At 40.5% G+C, this 20,095-nt stretch overlaps 1 long non-coding RNA gene across 1 annotated transcript; it reads left to right on the top strand.

Moving 5' to 3' along the window:
- The first annotated feature begins 5,797 nt into the window (after window positions 1-5,797).
- On the top strand, window positions 5,798-9,548 carry LOC105373911 (uncharacterized). Its single transcript, XR_923957.2, has 3 exons — window positions 5,798-6,025; window positions 6,833-6,945; window positions 9,197-9,548. It is a non-coding gene; the product is annotated as an uncharacterized LOC105373911 (long non-coding RNA).
- Window positions 9,549-20,095: the final 10,547 nt, after the last annotated feature.

Raw genomic sequence — 20,095 nt, 5'->3', positions numbered from 1 at the left:
TCCCAATATCTGTTTTGCTCTTCTTTTCCAGTAACGCAACCATGATTTTATTCAAGGGATGAAACTGCTGAGACAAAAGACTGTATTTCTCATCCAACCTTGCTGTGTCTATGTGATTAAAGTCTGATCAATGACATATAAGTGGAAATGTCAGGTGACACTTCTAGAAATGCTCCTTGACAGAGCGCCAGACAGCTGGCCCAGGCCCTTTTTGTTCTTCCTCACTTCATTCCTCCTGCCAGGCGCGTGAGCCTGAGCCCTGCTAGCCATCTTGGACCAGAGGAAAGATTGTCAGTCACACATTACAAGTGGCAGAACAGACAGGATACCAGGTCCAAGATAACAGTGGAGTGCTATGCCAGTCTTACACTGCCTATTTCTGGAGAGAAAAAAAGGAAACTTAAGAACTCATCTCGTTTAAGCCTGTGTTGCTTCTAATGTTGTTACTAGTATCTTTACACAATTGTTAATAAATGCAATCTTCCTGGACTCCCCTGAGGATATGGAGTTCCTTTCTGGAAACTACAGATAGACGAAAGATACTTAATTTTCATCTAATACTTCGAGATATGACCAGGTGAAATGTTCTAAGGTATTAAAAGTCTGATTAAAGACAAATCCTATGACAGTAAATTTAACTTTGAATCAAACTTCTATAATACCACAGTACTACAAAAACTGGCAAATAAAATTTCAATACAGCAACTTAAACACCATATTTTTTAAAATATTCATTGTCTCAAGGGCTGATGATGATCTATATACTGAAAAATATTAAATACTGGGTCATGGCTATGGACCTTGGGTTGCAAGAACTAGCTTAGGAAAAACAAAGTATTGGTTTACCTAACAAAAAAGTGCAATAATAGACCCACTTTCCAACATGGCTGGATCTTCAGGAATCTGTCTCTCTTCAGCTCTCAGCTGTGATTTTCTTTTTATTGGTTTTATTCTGAGGCAGGCTCTTTCTATATGGCTGCAAAGTCAACCACTAACTGGTCCAAGACTATAGTTTACCAGCTTAAAAAAACAGTGGAAAGGCCAGGTGTGGTGGCTCACGCCTGTAATCCCAGCACTTTTGGAGGCTGAGGCAGGCGGATCACCTGAGGTCAAGAGTTTGAGACCAGCCTGGCCAACATGGTGAAACCCCGTCTCTACTAAAAATACAAAAATTAGCCGGGCATGGTGGCAAATGCCTGTAATCCCAGCTACTCAGGAGGCTAAGGCAAGAGAATTCCTTGAACCCATGAGGCAGAGGTTGCAGTGGGCCAAGATCACACCACTGCATTCCAGCCTGGGGGACAAGAGTGAGACTTTGTCTCAAAAGAAAAAAAAAATAAACAGTGGAAAGAAGGCACTTTTTCCCAGATGTAATATACTAGATTATCATTCAGCAAGTATTCATTATCTCCCCCTCAACTTTCATGAGAGCCTTTGATGTCAATATTGGTCACACGATTTGCTTTGGCCAACGGAATATTAGTCGATGTGACATGAGTTTGGCTGAAATAGGCTTGCACAGTGGGACACGGTCTTTTACACTTTGCTTTCATCGTTAGAGGACTATGCTTTGAGTTGAGTAGCTACTGGCCCAGGGAGGATGAAGGACACATGGAGCAAAATTGGAGCCAAGCCCAGCCCATCTTACCATGTGTAAAAAATAAATAAATAGTTTTCAACTGAGATTTGGAACGGTTTCTCACACAGCTTATGTGAGGCAACAGCTGATTGATGCAGGTGAAATTCCACCAAAATTGTTTAATCTCATTAGCTCAGGTCAGTAGTTCTTAAGGATGATCATCGGCATTGCCTGGGAACTTGTTAAAAGTGATCAGGTCTCACCCCAGACCTACAGAACTATACACTCTGAAGTAAGGGACCAACGATTTTTGTTTTAACACGTGGTCCAAGTGATTCTGATTTCCTATCAAGTTTGACACCCACTGACTTAGGTTATATGCCCATCCTTAAACCAATCTCAGTGCCTAAGGATTCAGGCCTGGAGCTGTAGGATGGCTCAGTGGCACCAGAATTACCTGAACTAGGGAACAGAGTCTAAGAGTGGACATTTCCGACAAGTCCATAGGTGATGCTGATGCTCCTGTTCTAGGGACCACCCATTTGAGAACCTCTGTTGTAGGCTATGGGTGTGGCAGGAATAATTCCCTATTGGAAAATCAGCATCTGTTAATAAAAGAAGAAAGAAACAAAAGAAGAAGGATGCTGGCCAGGGAGCAAATGTCAATCACGACTCCATTCTCATTAAAATAAAAACATTCTGACAACCACAAATATTCTCCAACAATTCTGTAGGGACAGGGGAATCTGGAGTGAAAAGAGAAATCTCATCTGTCATTCAGTTTGTGAAATTAATTGAGACATAAACTGATTTTTTTTGTCTCTTCAATTTTGCCAAAATTCAAAACAGAGCTCAGGAATCAAATAAAAGACAGCAGTTTTTGCTAGAGAGAGCCATGTATCATTTTCCAATGTGATATGAATTGTCACATAAATCTTTCTTAGTACAATTCACTGAAGATAAATATAGTGCTTAAGGAGATAATGTCTATATATCAAACAATTGAGTCATTTTGATCCATACTAGTGAAATCAAGACAGCAGCCTATAGTTTTGAATGATCCAAGATAAAAAATAGAATCACAGCCCCTGACTATTGCTGTTATTTTTAATCTGTTCTTAGAATCCAGAAATCAAAGAATTTTAGAACTCAAAGGACCTTAGAAATCATCTAGCCCAGGTATTGCAAACCACCAGACAATGGACCACATTTCACCCTCAAAAGGTTGTTTTATTTGCCCTGTACAGGAGTGTTTTTATGTTAATTAATATTTTTGCCATATTTTAAATTTTTCAACTTTTTTAATGAGTTTGAAGATCTGGTGCAACACATTATAGGCAAAAGTCTATATTCCACATGAAAAAATGCTCATCATCACCGGCCATCAGAGAAATGCAAATCAAAACCACAATGAGATACCATCTCACACCAGTTAGAATGGCGATCATTAAAAAGTCAGGAAACAACAGGTGCTGGAGAGGATGTGGAGAAATAGGAACACTTTTACACTGTTGGTGGGAGTGTAAACTAGTTCAACCATTGTGGAAGTCAGTGTGGCGATTCCTCAGGGATCTCGAACTAGAAATACCATTTGACCCAGCCATCCCATTACTGGGTATATACCCAAAGGATTATAAATCATGCTGCTATAAAGACACATGCACATGTATGTTTACTGCGGCACTATTCACAATAGCAAAGACTTGGAACCAACCCAAATGTCCAACAACGATAGACTGGATTAAGAAAATGTGGCACATATACACCATGGAATACTATGCATCCATAAAAAAATGATGAGTTCATGTCCTTTGTAGGGACATGGATGAAACTGGAAACCATCATTCTCAGCAAACTATTGCAAGGACAAAAAACCAAACACCGCATGTTCTCACTCACAGGTGGGGATTGAACAATGAGAACACATGGACACAGGAAGGGGAACATCACACACCGGGGACTGTTGTGGGGTGGGGGGAAGAGGGAGGGATAACATTAGGAGATATACCTAAGGCTAAATGACGAGTTAATGGGTGCAGCACACCAACATGGCACATGTATACATATGTAACAAACCTGCACATTGTGCACATGTACCCTAAAACTTAAAGTATAATAATAAAATTTTTTTTAAAAAAAGTCTATATTCCCTCACAGCATGTTAAGTGGGAGGTGAATGCTACCACCCTCCTCCATTTTTTTTTTTTTTTAGACGGATTCTAGCTCTGTCACCAGGCTGGTGCGATCTGGGCTCACTGCAACCTCTGCTTCATGGGTTCAAGCGATTCTCCTGCCTCAGCCTTCCGAGTAGCTGGGACTACAGGTGCACGCCACCAAGCCCAGCTAATTTTTATATTTTTAGTAGAGACAGGGTTTCACCATGTTGGCCAGAATGGTCTCAATCTCTTGAGCTTGTGATCTGCCCTTCTCGGCCTCCCAAAGTGCTGGGATTACAGGCATGAACCATTTGAAGGAGCTCTTACTCCTACTCTTCAGTTTGATGAGGACACTGCAGCACTGTGATTTTACAACCAGATCTCTTCACTTGTCTCCAGGGCCTGCTGTGGTTCCGTAGGCATTTAGGTTGGCTGCCTCTCATCTAGACCAACTCCCCTGTTTGACCACTGAGAATACTGAGGTCCATGGTGATGACCAACTTTAATTTACATCATCTCTCAGGGGCAGACCGAGTTTGCATTGCCAGTTTTTCCCATTTTTAGAATATAGTTTCTGTAACAGACAAATTTTTTACCATAAATAAGAGAATTGCAAAGTTTACCTTTTAAATTCTACTCATTTGGAGCTGGGCACAGTGGCTCACACTTGTAATCCCAGCACTTTGGAGGCCGAGGTGGGGGGATCACCTGAGGCCAGGAGTTCGAGACCAGCCTGGCCAACATGGTGAAACCCCATCTCTACTAAAAATACAAAAATTAGCCAGGCATGGTGGCGCACACCTGTAGTCCCAGCTACATGGGAGGCTGAGACAGAACTGCTTGAACCTGGGAGGCAGAGGTTGAGATGAGCTGAGATCACACCACTGCACTCCAGCCTAGGTGACAGAGCAAGACTCTGCTCAAAAAAAAACAAAAAAAAAGTCTGCTCATTCAGCCACGCTCAGTGGCTCACACCTATAATCCTAGCACTTTGGGAGGCCAAGACAGAAGGATTGCTTGAAACCAGGAGTTTGAGACTAGCCTGGGCAACATAGCGAGATCTTGTCTCTACTAAAAATTTTAAAAATTAGCCAAGTATGGTGGCGCGTGTGTGTAGTCCTAGCTACTTGGGAGGCTGAGGTGGAAGAATTGCTTGAGCCGGGGAGCTCAAGGTTGCAGTGAGCTATGATTGTACCACTGCACTCCAGACCGGGTAACGGAGCATGACCATGTCTCAAAAGTAAGTAAGTAAATAAATAAAGAAATCCTGCTCAGTCATACTGAGGTAGGTGATAAAATCAGTATATAGCTTATTTCAGAAATCCAAAGAAGAACAAATCCATGAACAATGTAAGAATGATAGACCACAAGTTTAATGTGAAATGAATCTTATTTGGATTAGGTACCTTAGATAGTTTTAATTCCTTTGGCTAGAAAGTGATGGGTTTTTTCTGTTTAAAAGTGATTTATTCTACCTTATACCCATTAGAATGGTTACTATCAAAAAACACAGAAAATGACAAGTGTTTGAGAGGATGTAGAAAAATTGTGATCTTTGTGCTCTATTAGTGAAAATATAAAATGGTGCAGCCACTGTTACCAAGACACCAGGGTTTAGGTCCTGCTGCTCACTGCACAGAAAGCCAATAACTGAGACAATGAGTGTTTCCAAGAAAAAAGGCATTAATCAGGTGATGCTGCCAAGGAGATCAGCCTCAAATCCATCTCCCTAACCAACTGAAATTAGGGGTTTATACAGCATGGAAGAAATGTAACCACATGTGGGAAAACAGGAATTAGGGAGGGGTAAGCAAGAGAAGTTGGTCAACAGGAAGCAGGTGATGAATTAGGCAATCATGATGGGTGAGGAGTCTGGTGTCTTATTATCCAGATGCAGTGATCTGGTAAATTTCAGTTCCTTGGTACTATCTGGGAGGCCTGATGGTTGGTTTTTTTTTTTTTTTTTTTTTTTTTTTTGAGACAGAGTCTGGCACTGTCACCCAGGCTGGAGTGCAGTGGCGTGATATCTCGGCTCACTGCAAGCTCCGCCTCCGGAGTTCACGCCATTCTCCTGTCTCAGCCTCCTGAGTAGCTGGGATTACAGGCGCCTGCCGCCACGCCCAGCTAATTTTTTGTATTTTTAGTAAACACGGGGTTTTACCATGTTAGCCAGAATGGTCTTGATCTCCTGACCTCATGATCTGCCCATCTTGGCCTCCCAAAGTACTGGGATTACAGTCGTGAGCCACCCCACCCGGCCGATGGTTGGTTTCTTAAGAAAGGTACTCAGGTAAGACAAATGTAACTTTTTCAAGTTTTAAAACTGAGAGAGTCAATTTCTATGTTTATTCAAAAGAAATGAAAAATATTAGTTCTATGGGACAATTGGGTTGGTTTCACCATTATAAAAAACAGTATGGCAGTTGCTCAACAAAAAGTAAAAAGAAAATTACCATACAATCCAGCAATTCTACTTCTGGGTATATATCCAAAAGAATTGAAAGCAGGATCACAGAGACATTATTTGTACAGTCATTTTCATAGCAACACCATTCCCAATAGCCGAGATAGAAACAACCTAAATTTGCCTGTCCATTAACAGATGAACAGAATTCTACAATGTGGTGTGTGTGTGTGTGTGAGTGTGTGTGTATGGAATATTATTCAGCCTTCAAAAGGAAGGAAATTTTGACATATGCCACAACCTAAATAAACCTTGAGTGCATTATGTTAAGTGAAATAAGTCAGACACAAAAAGATAAATACTGTATGGTTCCATTCCTATGAGTTATTTTAAATAGTCAAATTTGTAGAAAAAGAAAGAAGCATGGTAATTGCTGGGGGCTGGGGGAGGGATAAATGAGGAGTTATTGTTTATTGAACATAGAGTTTCACTTTTGCAAGATGAAATAGTTCTGGAGATCATTTGCACAACAATGTAAATATGTTTAACACTACTGAATTGCATGCTTTAAAATGGTTAAGATGGTAAATTTAATGTTATATCCTTTTTATCATAATAAAAAATAATTTTTAAAAAGAATTTCTTAGTTAAGTCTACTAGAATTTTTTTAAATCTGGTGTAATTATTTCACAGGTCAGAATGTGGAATCCAAAGACGAAATAGAAAGCAGATATGTCTCATCCTGCTGAGGCTAACTGAACATTCTGTATACCTCTGGGAGAGATCTTCTATGTACATGAACATAGGTAAGCAAGTTCAAAAACAAAGTCAGACTTTAAAAAGATTTTATTGAAATGACAAATTATGGAATGTTGTCTAGAGCTGGAACTAATAAATTTTTATATTAGATTTCACCTCACTCCAAAAACTACAGTAAAAATGTTTGTATTTAGGCTGGGCGTGGTGGCTTAAGCCTGTAATCCCAGCACTTTGGGAGGCCGAGGCAGGAGAATGGCATGAACCCGGGAGGCGGAGCTGCAGTGAGCTGTGATCACACCACTGCACTCCAATCTGGGTGACAGAGCGAGCCTCCATCTCAGGGAAAAAAAAAAAAAAAAAAAAAAAAGTTTGTATTTAATATGTTTCAAACTTACTCTAAAAACATAATGTGTAAAAAATTGAGAAATTCCATTGCTATAATTAAGAAAATTCAGATATGTGGAGAATAGAAAATATACTTTATAATATTTAACCCATCCTTATATTTGGGATAAATAATCTAGTTTTTAGATTTTAATAATTTTCTCAATATAGATTAATCACCTCTATTCACTAATCCTAGAGATCGTTGTTCCTGAAATTAACAGCAAGGACAATATTGGTAGCTCACAATGTAATAGTTGCGTATCCACTGGGTCATCAATCACTGACAAAACGTGAGATCAGTGTCAATGTCCCAGAAGGCAGTTCTAATGCAAACTACCCTCTGAAGATTTTATCATTGTTGACCTATATTTATCTATTGAATAAGGGATCTGTAAGCCACCAGCATGCATATCATTTTGTCTGAACAGCTTTCCACACTGTCTCCTCATCTCTAAAGACTGTCAAGGAAAGCACCACACTCCCAGGTGCCCCAAAAGCAACTCAATGGGCTGGCTTTGGTTCACTGGAGACGTTTCATTCAGCTCCTCTCTGTCAATGTTTCTTACAGACAGTCTATAACCATTGTGCTCCTGGTTCTATATAGAAGAGTGTCTATAAGAGACATTGACAGAGAGGAGCTGAATGAATGATTCTATTCAGCTGTAAACAGTGATGTCCAGGCCTATGGAATGGAAACTGGAATCTGCCCAGGAAACAGATTAGTCTAGTACTCTAAGGCTAGGCCATCCTTGAAATGCCAATTAAAAATTTGGGAGAAAAATGATGAAGAAGTCACAGTTATTACCTGTGTCTTGAAGCTTAGTTGCACCAACAAACATTATCACTAGGCAACAATACTCTCATGAATTCTCTGAGTGATGAGGAAGGGGCATAAGGAGAGAGGAAATAAAGCAATGAGACTAGTCTTTGCTCTTAAGAAGTTTGTATCTTAGTCAAGGAGATAAATGCTATTTACGTGATTCCAGAAAATGCATGACAGTCTATAATCAACTATTAAAATTTGTGATTACTTATACTTTTATTAAAAGAATTCAGAGGATGGCTGTGCATGATGGCTTCTGCCTGTAAATTTCAGCTCTTTGGGAGGCTAAGGTGTGGGAATCACTTGAGACTAGGAGTTTGAGACCAACCTGGACAACATAGTGAGACCTTGTCTCTAATAAATAAATAAATAAATAAAATTTTAATTAGCCAGGTGTGGTGGTGATGCATCCCTATCGTCCTAGCTACTTGGTAAACTGAAGCAAGAGGGTCACTTAAACCCAGGAGGTTGAGGCTACAGTGAGTTATGATGGGGCCACTGCACTACAGCCTGGACAACAGTGCAAGACCCTGTCTCTAGAAAAAGAAAAAGAATTCGGAGGAGGAAAAGACCAAGGTGATGTAGGTGTCAAGAAGGGTTTCATGAACTTGATATGGTTCCCATTTGATAGAAAGGTAGAACTTGATATACAAAAATAATTTGAGAATGAACCACCCATATGCTCCTGCCTAGGTTCTACAATAAACAGTTTCCATATTTGCTTTATCACACATTATGCTAAGTGACACAAAAGACCACGTGCTTTATGATTCTACTTATATGAGATATCAAAACAGGAAAATCCATAGAGATAAAAGTAGATTAATGGTTGCAGGTGTTGGGTGGGGGCAGGCATGAGGAGTGACTGTGGAAGGGTAAGGAGTTTCTTTTGGGGGCGATGAAAATATTTTGGAATTAGATTGCAGTGATGGTAGCATGACCTTGTAAATGACAAGATCTTGAACAAATCTGAGATCGGACGCAAAAGGTCAGTGGCCAATCTTTGTCCAGGGGAGAACACTACCCTTAATGTCTTAACCCTTGTATGGAAAACCTGTTGTAACAGTTAACCTTTTTTTTTTTTTCAGACAGAGTCTCACTCTGTTGCCCAGGTTGGAGTGCGATGACACGATCTTGGCTCACTGAATCCTCCACCTCCTGGATTCAAGCAATTCTCCTGCCTTAGCCTCCTGAGTAGCTGGGACTACAGGCGTGTTCCGCCACACCCAGCTAATTGTTGTATTTTTAGTAGAGACGAGGCTTCACCATATTGACCAGGCTGGTCTCAAACTCCTGACCTCAGGTGATCCACCTGTCTCAGCCTCCCAAAGTGCTGGGATTATAGGTGTAAGCCACCACGCCCAGCCTGTAACAGTTAACTTTATATGCCAACTTGACTACACCATAGGGTTCCCAAATTAAACATTATTTTTGAATGTGTCACTGAGGTTTTTTCCAGATGAGATTGGCATTTGAATTGGTGGGCTGAGTAAAGCAGATGGCCTTCTCAAATGTGTGTGGGCATCATCCAATCGAGGGACTGAATAGAAAAAAATGGCAAAGGAAGGGGGAATTTGTCCTTTGCTTTCTTCCTGTCTGCATGAACTGGGACATCAGTCTTTGCCTGTTCTTGGACTTGAGACAAAGCAGAGACCCTCTGAGAGGCCTGTGGGCACCCCATACGATGAAAATAAAAGAAAATATTTGGTTCCTTCAGGGGAAATTCCAGGCACCTAGCTAGCCCTGAGAAGTAAATGAGCAACTCAAAAAGTAAGAAGGAATGGTAGCTTAAAACAATAGCCAAGGAAGTTAGAGTTAAAGGATGTTTGGTGTTCCCTATAGAAACTAAAGACAACATCTTAACCTATGTGCCTGAGCTGTTTTCAGAAACCTGGATCCCCATCAAATAAACATGCTGGCATGTAGACCTCAGATAAGGGAAAACTGAGGAATGAACTCTGCAGTTCTTTATTGTAAAGTTCTTCCTGAGGGGTCTGGAGGAAATCATGCCCATGAGCCAGAGCTAACATTCTTTTCTGCTAACCCCACATTTTTAAACAGAGATTCTCTTCCTTCACTAATTGCAAATCAGAAAGTCTTTGAATATACCTATGACCTATAATCCCCTGCCTTAAGATATCCAACCTTTTGGGGCCAAATCGATGTGTAATCTCCATGTATTGATTTACAATTTTTACTATAACTTCAACTTTCCTAAAATTTACCCCCACCTTTAAATAACACTCACAAGCCATCAGAGGGGTCATGTCTCAAGCGTAAGCTGCCCAATTCTTCATGCTTGGGCCCCTCCTTTCTCCCTCTGCAAACTTTCATATAGATGTTTGGCCTATGGCACAGGGTGAGCAGATCCCAGTTTGGTCTGGTAACAGAGATTTACACCATTGTGCCCCTGGTTCTTAGGCCTTTGGACTAATCTAGGTCTTCAGTCTGCAAAAGGTAGATCACAGGTGCATTAGTCCATTCTCACACTGCTATAAAGAGCCACCTGAGACTGGGTAATTTATGAAGGAAAGAGGTTTAATTGACTCAAAGTTCCTCAGGCTGTACCAGTAGCATGGGTAGAAGGCCTCAAGAAACTTACAATCACAGCAGAAGAGAAAGGGGAAGCAAGCACATCTTACCATGGCAGAGCAGGAGAGAGAGAGTGAAGAGGGAAGTGCAACACACTTTTAAACCATGAGATCTCAAGAAAACTCACTTACCAACATGAGAACAGCAAGAGGGAGATCCATCCCCATGATCCAATCACCTCCCGCCAGGCCCCACCTCCAATTCAACATGAAATTTGACAGGACACAAATCTAAACCTTACGATTCTGCCCCTGGCCCCTCCCAAATCTCACGTCCTTCTCACATTTGAAAATCAATCATGCTTTCCCAACAATTCCCCAAAGTCTTAACTCATTCCAGCATTAAATCGAAAGTCCAAATCCAAAGTCTCATCTGAGACAAGGCAAGTCCCTTCCACTTATGAGCCTGTAAAATCAAAAACAAGTTATTTCCAAGATAATATAGACATACAGGCATCAGGTAAATGCTTCCACTCCAAAAGGGAGAAACTGTCCAAAACAAAGGGGCTAGAGGCCCCATGCAAGTCCAAAACCCAGCAGGACAGTCATTAAATCTTAAAGCTCCAAAATGATCTCCTTTGACTCCATGTCTCACATCCACAGCATACTGATGCAAGGGGTGGGCTCCAAAGGCGTTGGGCAGCTCCACCCCTGTGGCTCTGTAGGGTATGTACAGCTCTTGTGGCTGCTTTCATGGGCTGGCATTGAGTGCTTGTGGCTTTTCTAGGTGCACAGTGCAAGCTCTCAGTGGATCTACCATTCCGGGGTCTGGAGGATAGTAGCCTTCGTGTCACAACTCCACTAAGCAATGCCCTAGTGGGGACTCTGTGTGGGGGCTCCGACCCCACATTTCCCATCTGCACTTCCCTAGTAGAGGTTCTCCATGAGGGCTCTGCCTCGCAGCAGACTTCTGCCTGGACATCCAGGCATTCCCATACATCCTCTGAAATCCAGGCAGAGGCTCCCAAAGCTCAACTCTTGCCTTCTGTGCACCCACAGGCCCAAGGCCATGTGGAAGCCTCTGAGGCTTAGGGCTTGCACCCTCTGAAGCAACAGCCTGAGCTGTATGCCCTCCCCTTTTAGCCACAGCTGGAACTGGAGCAGCTTAGACACAGGGCACCATATCCCAAGGCTGCACAGAGCAGCTGGGCCCTCAGCCTGACACAGAAAACCATTTTTTCCTCCTAGGCCTCTGGACCTGTAATGGGAAGGGTTGCTGTGAAGGTCTCTGAAATGCCCTGGTCTCTGATATTTTCCTTATTGTATTGGCTATTAACATTTGGCTCTTGCCGGGCATGGTGGCTCACACCTGTAATCCCAGCACTTTGGGAGGCCGAGGCAGGCGGATCACGAGGTCAGGAGATCAAGACCATCCTGGTTAACATGGTGAAACCCTGTCTCTACTAAAAATACAAAAAAATTAGCCGGGTTTGGTGGCGGGCGCCTGTAGTCCCAGCTACTCAGGAGGCTGAGGCAGGAGAATGGCGTGAACCCAGGAGGCGAAGGTTGCAGTGAGCCAAGATTGCGCCACTGCACTCCAGCCTGGGTGACAGAGCGAGACTCCATCTCAAAAAAAAAAAAAAAAATTGGCTCCTCTTTACTTATGCAAATTTCTGCAGCAGGCTTGAATTTCTCCCCAGAAAATGGGTTTTTCTTTTCTACCACATGGCCAGGCTGCAAATTTTCCAAACTTTTATGCTCTGCTTCCCTTTTAAATATAAGTTCCAGTTTCAGATAATCTCTTTGTTCACATGTATAAGCATACACTTTTAGAAACAGTCAGGTTAGCTCTTGAATGCTTTGCTGCTTAGAAATTTCTTCTGCTAAATACCCTAACTCATCTCAAAGTTCCACAGATTTCCAGGGCAGGGGAAAAATGCCTCCAGTTTCTTTGCTAAAGGATAGCAAGGATGACCTTTATTCCAGTTCCCAATAAGTTCTTCATCTCCATCTGAGACCACCTCAGGCTAAACATCATTGTCCATATCACTATCAGCATTTTGGTCAAACCATTCAACAAGTCTCTATGAAGTTCCAAACCTTCCCACATCCTCCTTTCTTCTTCTGACCCCTTCAAACTGTTCCAACCTCTGCCCATGACCAGTTCCAAAGTCACCTACACATTTTCAGGTATCTTTATAGCAGAACCCCACTCTCCTGGTATCAACTTTCTGTATGAGTTCATTCTCACACTGCTATAAAGAACTACCTGAGACTGGGTAATTCATGAAGAAAAAAGGTTTAATTAACTCACAGTTCTGCAGGCTGTACAGGATAGCTTCTTTCTTTCAGGAAGCATGGCTAGAAGGCCTCATGAAACTTACAATCATGGCATAAGGTAAAGGGGAAGCAAGCATGTCTTACTGTGGCAGAGCAAGAGAGAGACAGTGAAAGGGGAAGTGCCACGTACTTTTAAACCATGAGATCTCATGAGAACTCATTCACTATCACAGGAACAGCAAGGGGAAATCTGCCCCCATGATTCAATCACCTCCCAATATCTGTATGTATATATACATACAGTATATATACACAAACACACACACACACACACACACACATATATGTATATATACATACAGAGAGAGATTTATTATGAGGAGTTGCTTTACATAATTATGGAGGCTGAGAAGTCCTGTTGATATGTTTAGAACTTGTGTCCCTACCCAAATCCCATATTGAACTGGAGGAGGTGCCTGGTGGGGGGTGATTGAATCACGGGGGCAGATTTCCCCTTGCTGTTCTTGTGGTAGTGAATGAGTATATATATGTATATATGTGTGTGTGTATGTGTGTGTGTGTGTGTGTTTGTGTGTGTGTATCTACAGCTCCTGTAGGTTCTCTCTTTATATATATATATGTGTGGGTATGCATACATAAATATATATATATGTATATGTATATAAACATGTGTGTATGTTTATACATCTCTTGTTCGTCCTCCATATATATATATATACACACACACACGTGCATGCACACACACACACACACACACATCCTTTTGTTCTGTTTCTTTGGATAAACCTAAGTAATAACCTATAAACACACAATAGTCACATAAACCTAAGAACAGATAGAAAATGTAGTGTGTGATTTTGTGAAATATATATGTGGTCTTTGACCTTGTTTCCTGGCATACAATTCCTAAAATTCTTAGATTCTCTAAATTGACGTATTTTTGTTGCTAATGATAGACTGATGGCTGGAGCCCTAAGGTAGCTTCAAGATGGGGGTTGGTCAACAGAAAAACCAAAGCAGGATTAGAGAGTTAGGGTTTTCAACGTGCCCCCCCTTGAATTCTGGGAAGGGGAGAGAGGCTGAAAGTTAAGTTGATCACCAATGGCAATGATTTAATCAATCATGCCCATGTAATGAGGGATCCCTAAAAGCACAAAAAGACTGGGTTCAAGGAGCTTCTGGATAGCCCAACACCTGGAGGTTCTTGGAGAGTGGCATGCCTGGGAAGGGCATGGAAGCTTCGTGCCCCTTCCTTCATACCTTACCCTATGCATCTCTTCACCTGTATCCTTTGTAACATCCTTTATAATAAACCAGTAAACCAAAGTAAGTGTTTCCCTGAGTTCTATGAGGTGCTCTAGCAAATTAATTGAATCCCAGAAGGTGATCATGGGAACCCCAATTTATAGCTGGTCAGTCAGAAGCACAGGTAAAACAACCAAGGGCCTGCAGTTGGTATTGAAACTTGGGGAACAGTCTTCAAGACTGAGCCCTCAACCTATAGGACCTGATGCTATCTCCAAGTAAATAGTGCCATCCAGCTGGTGTCCACTACAGAACCAGTTGCTTGCTTAGTGTGTGGGAGAAAAAAACCCACGCATTTGGTCACAGAAGCCTTCTGTATTGATTGTTATTTGAGTGAGTGAATAGAAAAAAAAAAGCATAGTTTTGAGTTTTTTCCACTCAGAAGAGTGATAGAAAAAAATAATAGAAGCATATTTCCAATAATGTATAACAGAGCTATTCTTGATGGTTAGAAAACAACATGTTTATTATCTTTTTTCAAAAAAAAGGTTGGTATCTGTGATCGATTTGCATTTACAATTATAGCTATATGTTTCCCAATACTTATTTGCCCTCTGCTTTTTTTTTTTTTTTTGAGATGGAGTCTCGCTCTGTCACACAGGATGGAGTGCAGTGGCGAGATCTAGGCTCACTGCAACCTTTGCCTCCTGGGTTCAAGTGATTCTCCTGCCTCAGCCTCCCGAGTAGCTGGGATTACAGGTGCCTGCCACCACATCTGGCTAATTTTTGTATTTTTAGTAGAGACGGGGTTTCACCATGTTGGCCAGGCTGGTCTCAAACTCCTGACCTCAAGTAATCCACCCACCTTGGCCTCCCAAAGTGTTAGGATTACAGACATGAATGCCCTCTGCATTAAAGAAAAAAAGGTAATAAATAATAGCCTAGCAAGATTTCTAGTTTCTGTGTCACATCATCACTGTCCAATATCTCTAAACCATTGCTTTTAGATGTAAAAAGGCAAGGCATAGAAAAGATATGAGATACACAAAAGAAGCAGGATTTTAATATCAAAATGCTGTATGCTAAGAAAATCTGTTAGGAAGAATAGAGGACCCAAAAACTCAATTCCAAAAACATAATTTGATTAACTACTTAGATCAAAATAGTCGGAAAAAAATGGTAATGGCTATACAAACACAGAAACTCTAATTTTAAAAAATTTATTAGGCCGGACACAGTGACTCATGCCTGTAATCGCAGCACTTTGGGAGGCTGAGGCGGGTGGATCACGAGGTGAGGAGATCGAGACCATCCTGGGTAACATGGTGAAACCCCGTCTCTACTCAAAATACAAAAAGTTAGCCGAGTGTGGTGGTGGGTGCCTGTAGTCCCAGCTACTTGGGAGGCTGAGGCAGGAGAATGGTGTGAACCCGGGAGGCAGAGCTTGCAGTGAGCCAAGGTCACGCCACTGCACTCCAGCCTGGGCGACAGAGTGAGACTCTGCCTTAAAAAAAAAAAAATTATTCATATCCCTTCATTCCGCTGATCCTTTTTTAAGACCACCTTCTGATACACTGCTATTCTCTATGTGGCAGCATACCAAAAATCACAGATGGTGGCCAGGTCTTTAAACAAGAATAACGTATTTTCCTGTTTGAATCACAAAACCTTAGAGCTAGAGATGACCTCAACACTTCCATTAGGCAGATGAATGGCTATCTAAAAAAAAAAAAAGAAGAAAAAAAAAAAAGAAAACCAGATGGCCATTTTCTTAATTTATAAGCATTTCCAGAGACCAAGAATTTTAATTGAACCCAAACGAGAATAAACTGTAAAATATTTGATGGAAAAAAATTTTAGCAAAATCGCAAATGCAAATGAAGTCTGTATATTTTGTTTGTTAACTTTAACCTATATGTTTTTATACTCACTAACCAAGTTCAATATAAAAACCAGTGAACTAAATCTAATATAAATCTCATGAAAAGGGAAAACCAAAGGTGAATCAAAATTCAACCCATTTTCATCAGGTTGTCATTATGGCTAGTTCAGGAAAAGAACTCAGCTCTCCATCAATTTGTGTAATGGCCCCACGGTCAGATGACTCCTTTGCCCTGTGAAACCATTTCCATAGGCTGGCTTGTTTCTGCCACAGCATGAATTATTGCTCTGAATAAGAGCTCCCATCTCCATTCATCATGGCAGAGGAGTTGAGAGTGGAAAGAGGCATGGGAACCCTATTTCAGGACCTCCAACCCAGCTAGACTGCATGCAACACATGCCAATGACTTCACAGAGATTTAATCCAGAGTCAAATAGTCTCATCATTTGCATTATTCATACTTAAAGAAGTCCCAGACATAGGCTCATTTATAATGACACCAGCCATTTGTTGAACAACTAAATGAGTAGGCATTTTAGTGCTCATTCTATTGGCAGAGTACCTTCTATGTATTTTTTAAATATATTCAGAGAAAACTGCTATTCATTTCTTCCTTTACCAAACACACCCTAATAGCATAAGGAATAAAGAATGCTGTTTGTTCTACTATAATGGCAGTAGTCAAAATACCACAGTTCATTTGGAACAGTCTCTAGTATAAACCAGTAAGAGAACAAAAAGTAATAGTTTGTCTCTTCTCTTTGAAATAAGATTTATCCACCACCCCAGAAGTTCAATCACAAACTTTAGTTAGACAATTGATCATCAGATAAATCCAAGGATGTCTTGCCATTTAAAATAATCAGACATGTTTAAATAATATTTCTTAAAAATAAAATGTTTTTCTCCACCACAAACAATGCAGTCACCCAGAAAGCAGGACTTTTGCAGACAGATCGTAACAAGATCATTGTTGTCAAGCTGGGGATTGAAAATTATTTTACCAAAAGACCATGGATAGGAAGAATTCCTTAAATGACATTGCAATATTTAATGAATTTTAAAAATATTTTCTCATAAATCACCTGGTCTCCTCACCAGGATTTATTACCAGTTACTTATTATCACTTAATCCATTCTTCACTGAATAGCCCAAAGGATCTTTTTAAGGCTTAAAAACTTAAAATAAAAGCCAAATTTCACCATGTGGTCTGCAAGGCCTTTTATAAGCTGGCTGAATTTTTTGTGGGACTCTCAAGTTCTACTCCTTTGTGACATAGAGAGGTCTCCCTGATATTCTTCCTAAAGAAGATTGTCCTTGGTGGTTTCTTTCTAATACTAATCACGAACAAACCACAATCTATGTTTTGATTATTTTATGTATTTACTTTGTCGTTTCCAGTGCCCAGGATAGTGCATTAGATAGATAGATGCTTAAAAAGTATTTGCTGAATATATACATGAATGAACAAACAAATAAATGAATGCATTTTTTCAACCTCTCAAATAGTGTCTCTCTCTCTTTTGTGCTCTCTATCTCTCTCTCTCCCTCTCTCACCCCACCCCGAACATACACAGGTGTCAGGCTTGTAGTAAAGGAACTTTTCCAAACTATTGTATCACTGAGTTAAGAACTTCAAATATGTTGTTTGATTCATGCTAAGTAAGCTCTTAGGTATCCCATCAGCCTGGATTTTAAAACACTGGATAACTAGGGATAAATGATACCTTCCCTTCACCCTTGGAAAGAGAGAACAGGCTCGGCAGTAGCAGAAAAGCATGGGTAATGTTTACTGGAGATTTGTGATGCACCTAGATTGAGTCCCTTTATTTGACCAGCCAATGGGGGAGAAAATCTGAGACTGAAAGCAGAACTTCTAGAGAATGGGCATTTCAGAGGTCAGGCCTGGAAGTAGCATAGTTACTTCTGCCCACATTCCATTGGACAGAATTTAGTCACATGGTCCCAACTATCTGCAGGTAGTGTAGTTTATCCACAAGCCAGGAAGAAAAATAAAACAAATTTGGTAAATGCATTAAATAAATTCACTTCAAATATTAAATTTTCTTCTGAAGATGGTTATAGTGGATCTCAGAGATTTTCCATTCATTTTTAATTATTTTAATTTCCTTATTAATACATGGCTGTTTTTAAATTTCTATTAGTTCGGTGCAAAAGTAATTTTGGTTTTTGCGATTACTTTCAGTGACATATTTGGTCAGTCTCTTAGGGATGGAAATAAGAGATCTCTCCTCTTGCATATATTAACTATCTTCAGAAAATGTGACCCATACATTTCTGCCACCTTATTTTTAATTTCTAGAGGCTCCTTATTTCTCTAAAGGTTCTCTTTTTATGTGCATTCTGTTTTTGTTTCATTAACACTAATCTTCACATAGTTTCCAGGAATACTAATTATAGTTACTTGTTTGAATTTTCTTCTTACATTATCTCTGTTTCCTACAAGTACTTTTTTCTGTTTGTTTTGGCCTTTGTCTGTTATGTTAGATGATTTCCTCAATTTGTTAATGATTTACTACCCATCCATACTCAAAGTGAGGCACTACTAGTTGACATTAAACTAAGTGAATGTGCAAATGTGTATACACGTATGTATGCAAGAAATAGAACACCTTTCTATTACTGGGCTTCATTGTTGAGTGACCAGACCAGAGTGGGCATTAACTTAGGGAGCTATCCACTGACAGTATCTATAGATCTTTCTTATTGGGCTGGTCAGTGTCCCAGAAATCAGAGAGAATCACTAAGGATTATAAACCTAGGCCGGGCGCGGTGGCTCACGCCTGTAGTCCCAGCACTTTGGGAGGCTGAGGCGGGCAGATCACGAGGTCAGGAGATCGAGACCGTCCTGGCTAACATGGTGAAACCCCATCTCTACTAAAAATACAAAAGTTAGCCAGGCATTGTGGTGGGCACTTGTAGTCCCAGCTACTTCAGAGGCTGAGGCAGGAGAATGGCGCGAACCCGGGAGGCGGAGCAGTAAGCCAAGATCGCACCACTGCACTCCAGCCTGGGTGACAGAGCGAGACTCCATCTGAAAAAAAAAAAAGAGGATTATAAACCTGTTTGGCCAAAACTGGTTCTAGCATTTTCATCATTAGCAGGAAGAGCATCACTTCATCACTTAATCCTGTTTTCAGTATAGGATTCACACTTTCAACTTGGTGTTCCCAGTTCAGAGTCCCTTTGCTTCATCCCCTCCGGAAAATAAATCTCCTGTTTTATATTAATGCTCAGGTAGTTGATTGTCTATGTGGGGTGAAGAGGGCATCTAGAGATCTAACTGCTTCAACCAATTCTCCTTGTTTTGGACCTTCCCATATCTGCACATTGATCATCACCTGATGTTTCCAAAATCTCAGGTTCTGCATGATGAATTAGCTATTTCAAGGACACTATCCAGGCTTTCAATCTTGCTTCCTATGTGTGCTTTCCATGAGCTGCCAAGTGAGTTACCACTTTTGTGTCTAATTTCTAGCTTCAAAAATTTATTGCCATTGTGTCTTCTTTGTTCTTCTGGAGCCATGCTTCCTTTTTCCTTCTCTGTAGTGGGGTTTTGAGAGGGAATGGAAATAAAGCATATGTTCAGTCTGCTATATTGAACTAGAAGGACTGGCACAAGATTTCCTTTTCTTCCATTGTCATTTTGTGTATACTAATGCTGCTATTGCAGCCAACATTTAGCAAAATTATAGTACCCCACACAAAAACCCCAATCCAAGTACCTCTATGAAACTAATCCATTCATAATAAGGGTAATGTTTATATGTTTACATCTATTCCTTTTTGGTTATTTTATATTTTCTGTTTATCAGCAAGTATTTTGTTTGTGGTGGTATCAATTTTTATCTCTAGTGGTTCAGAAGACATGCATTCTATTTCTCTTTTTCTAGTACTATCCTTTACATTTTTAACAGACTTATCTAAATCTGTATTCTTCTATAATTATATTAAATGAATCAATATCTATACATTTCCTTAGCAAATAAAGGAAATTTATCACTTT

This window comes from Homo sapiens, chromosome 2 (assembly GCF_000001405.40).
Source record: "Homo sapiens chromosome 2, GRCh38.p14 Primary Assembly".
NCBI classification, from domain to species: domain Eukaryota; kingdom Metazoa; phylum Chordata; class Mammalia; order Primates; family Hominidae; genus Homo; species Homo sapiens.
Note: the sequence above shows the minus strand (reverse complement) of the source record. Positions and strands in the feature narration are given on the sequence as shown.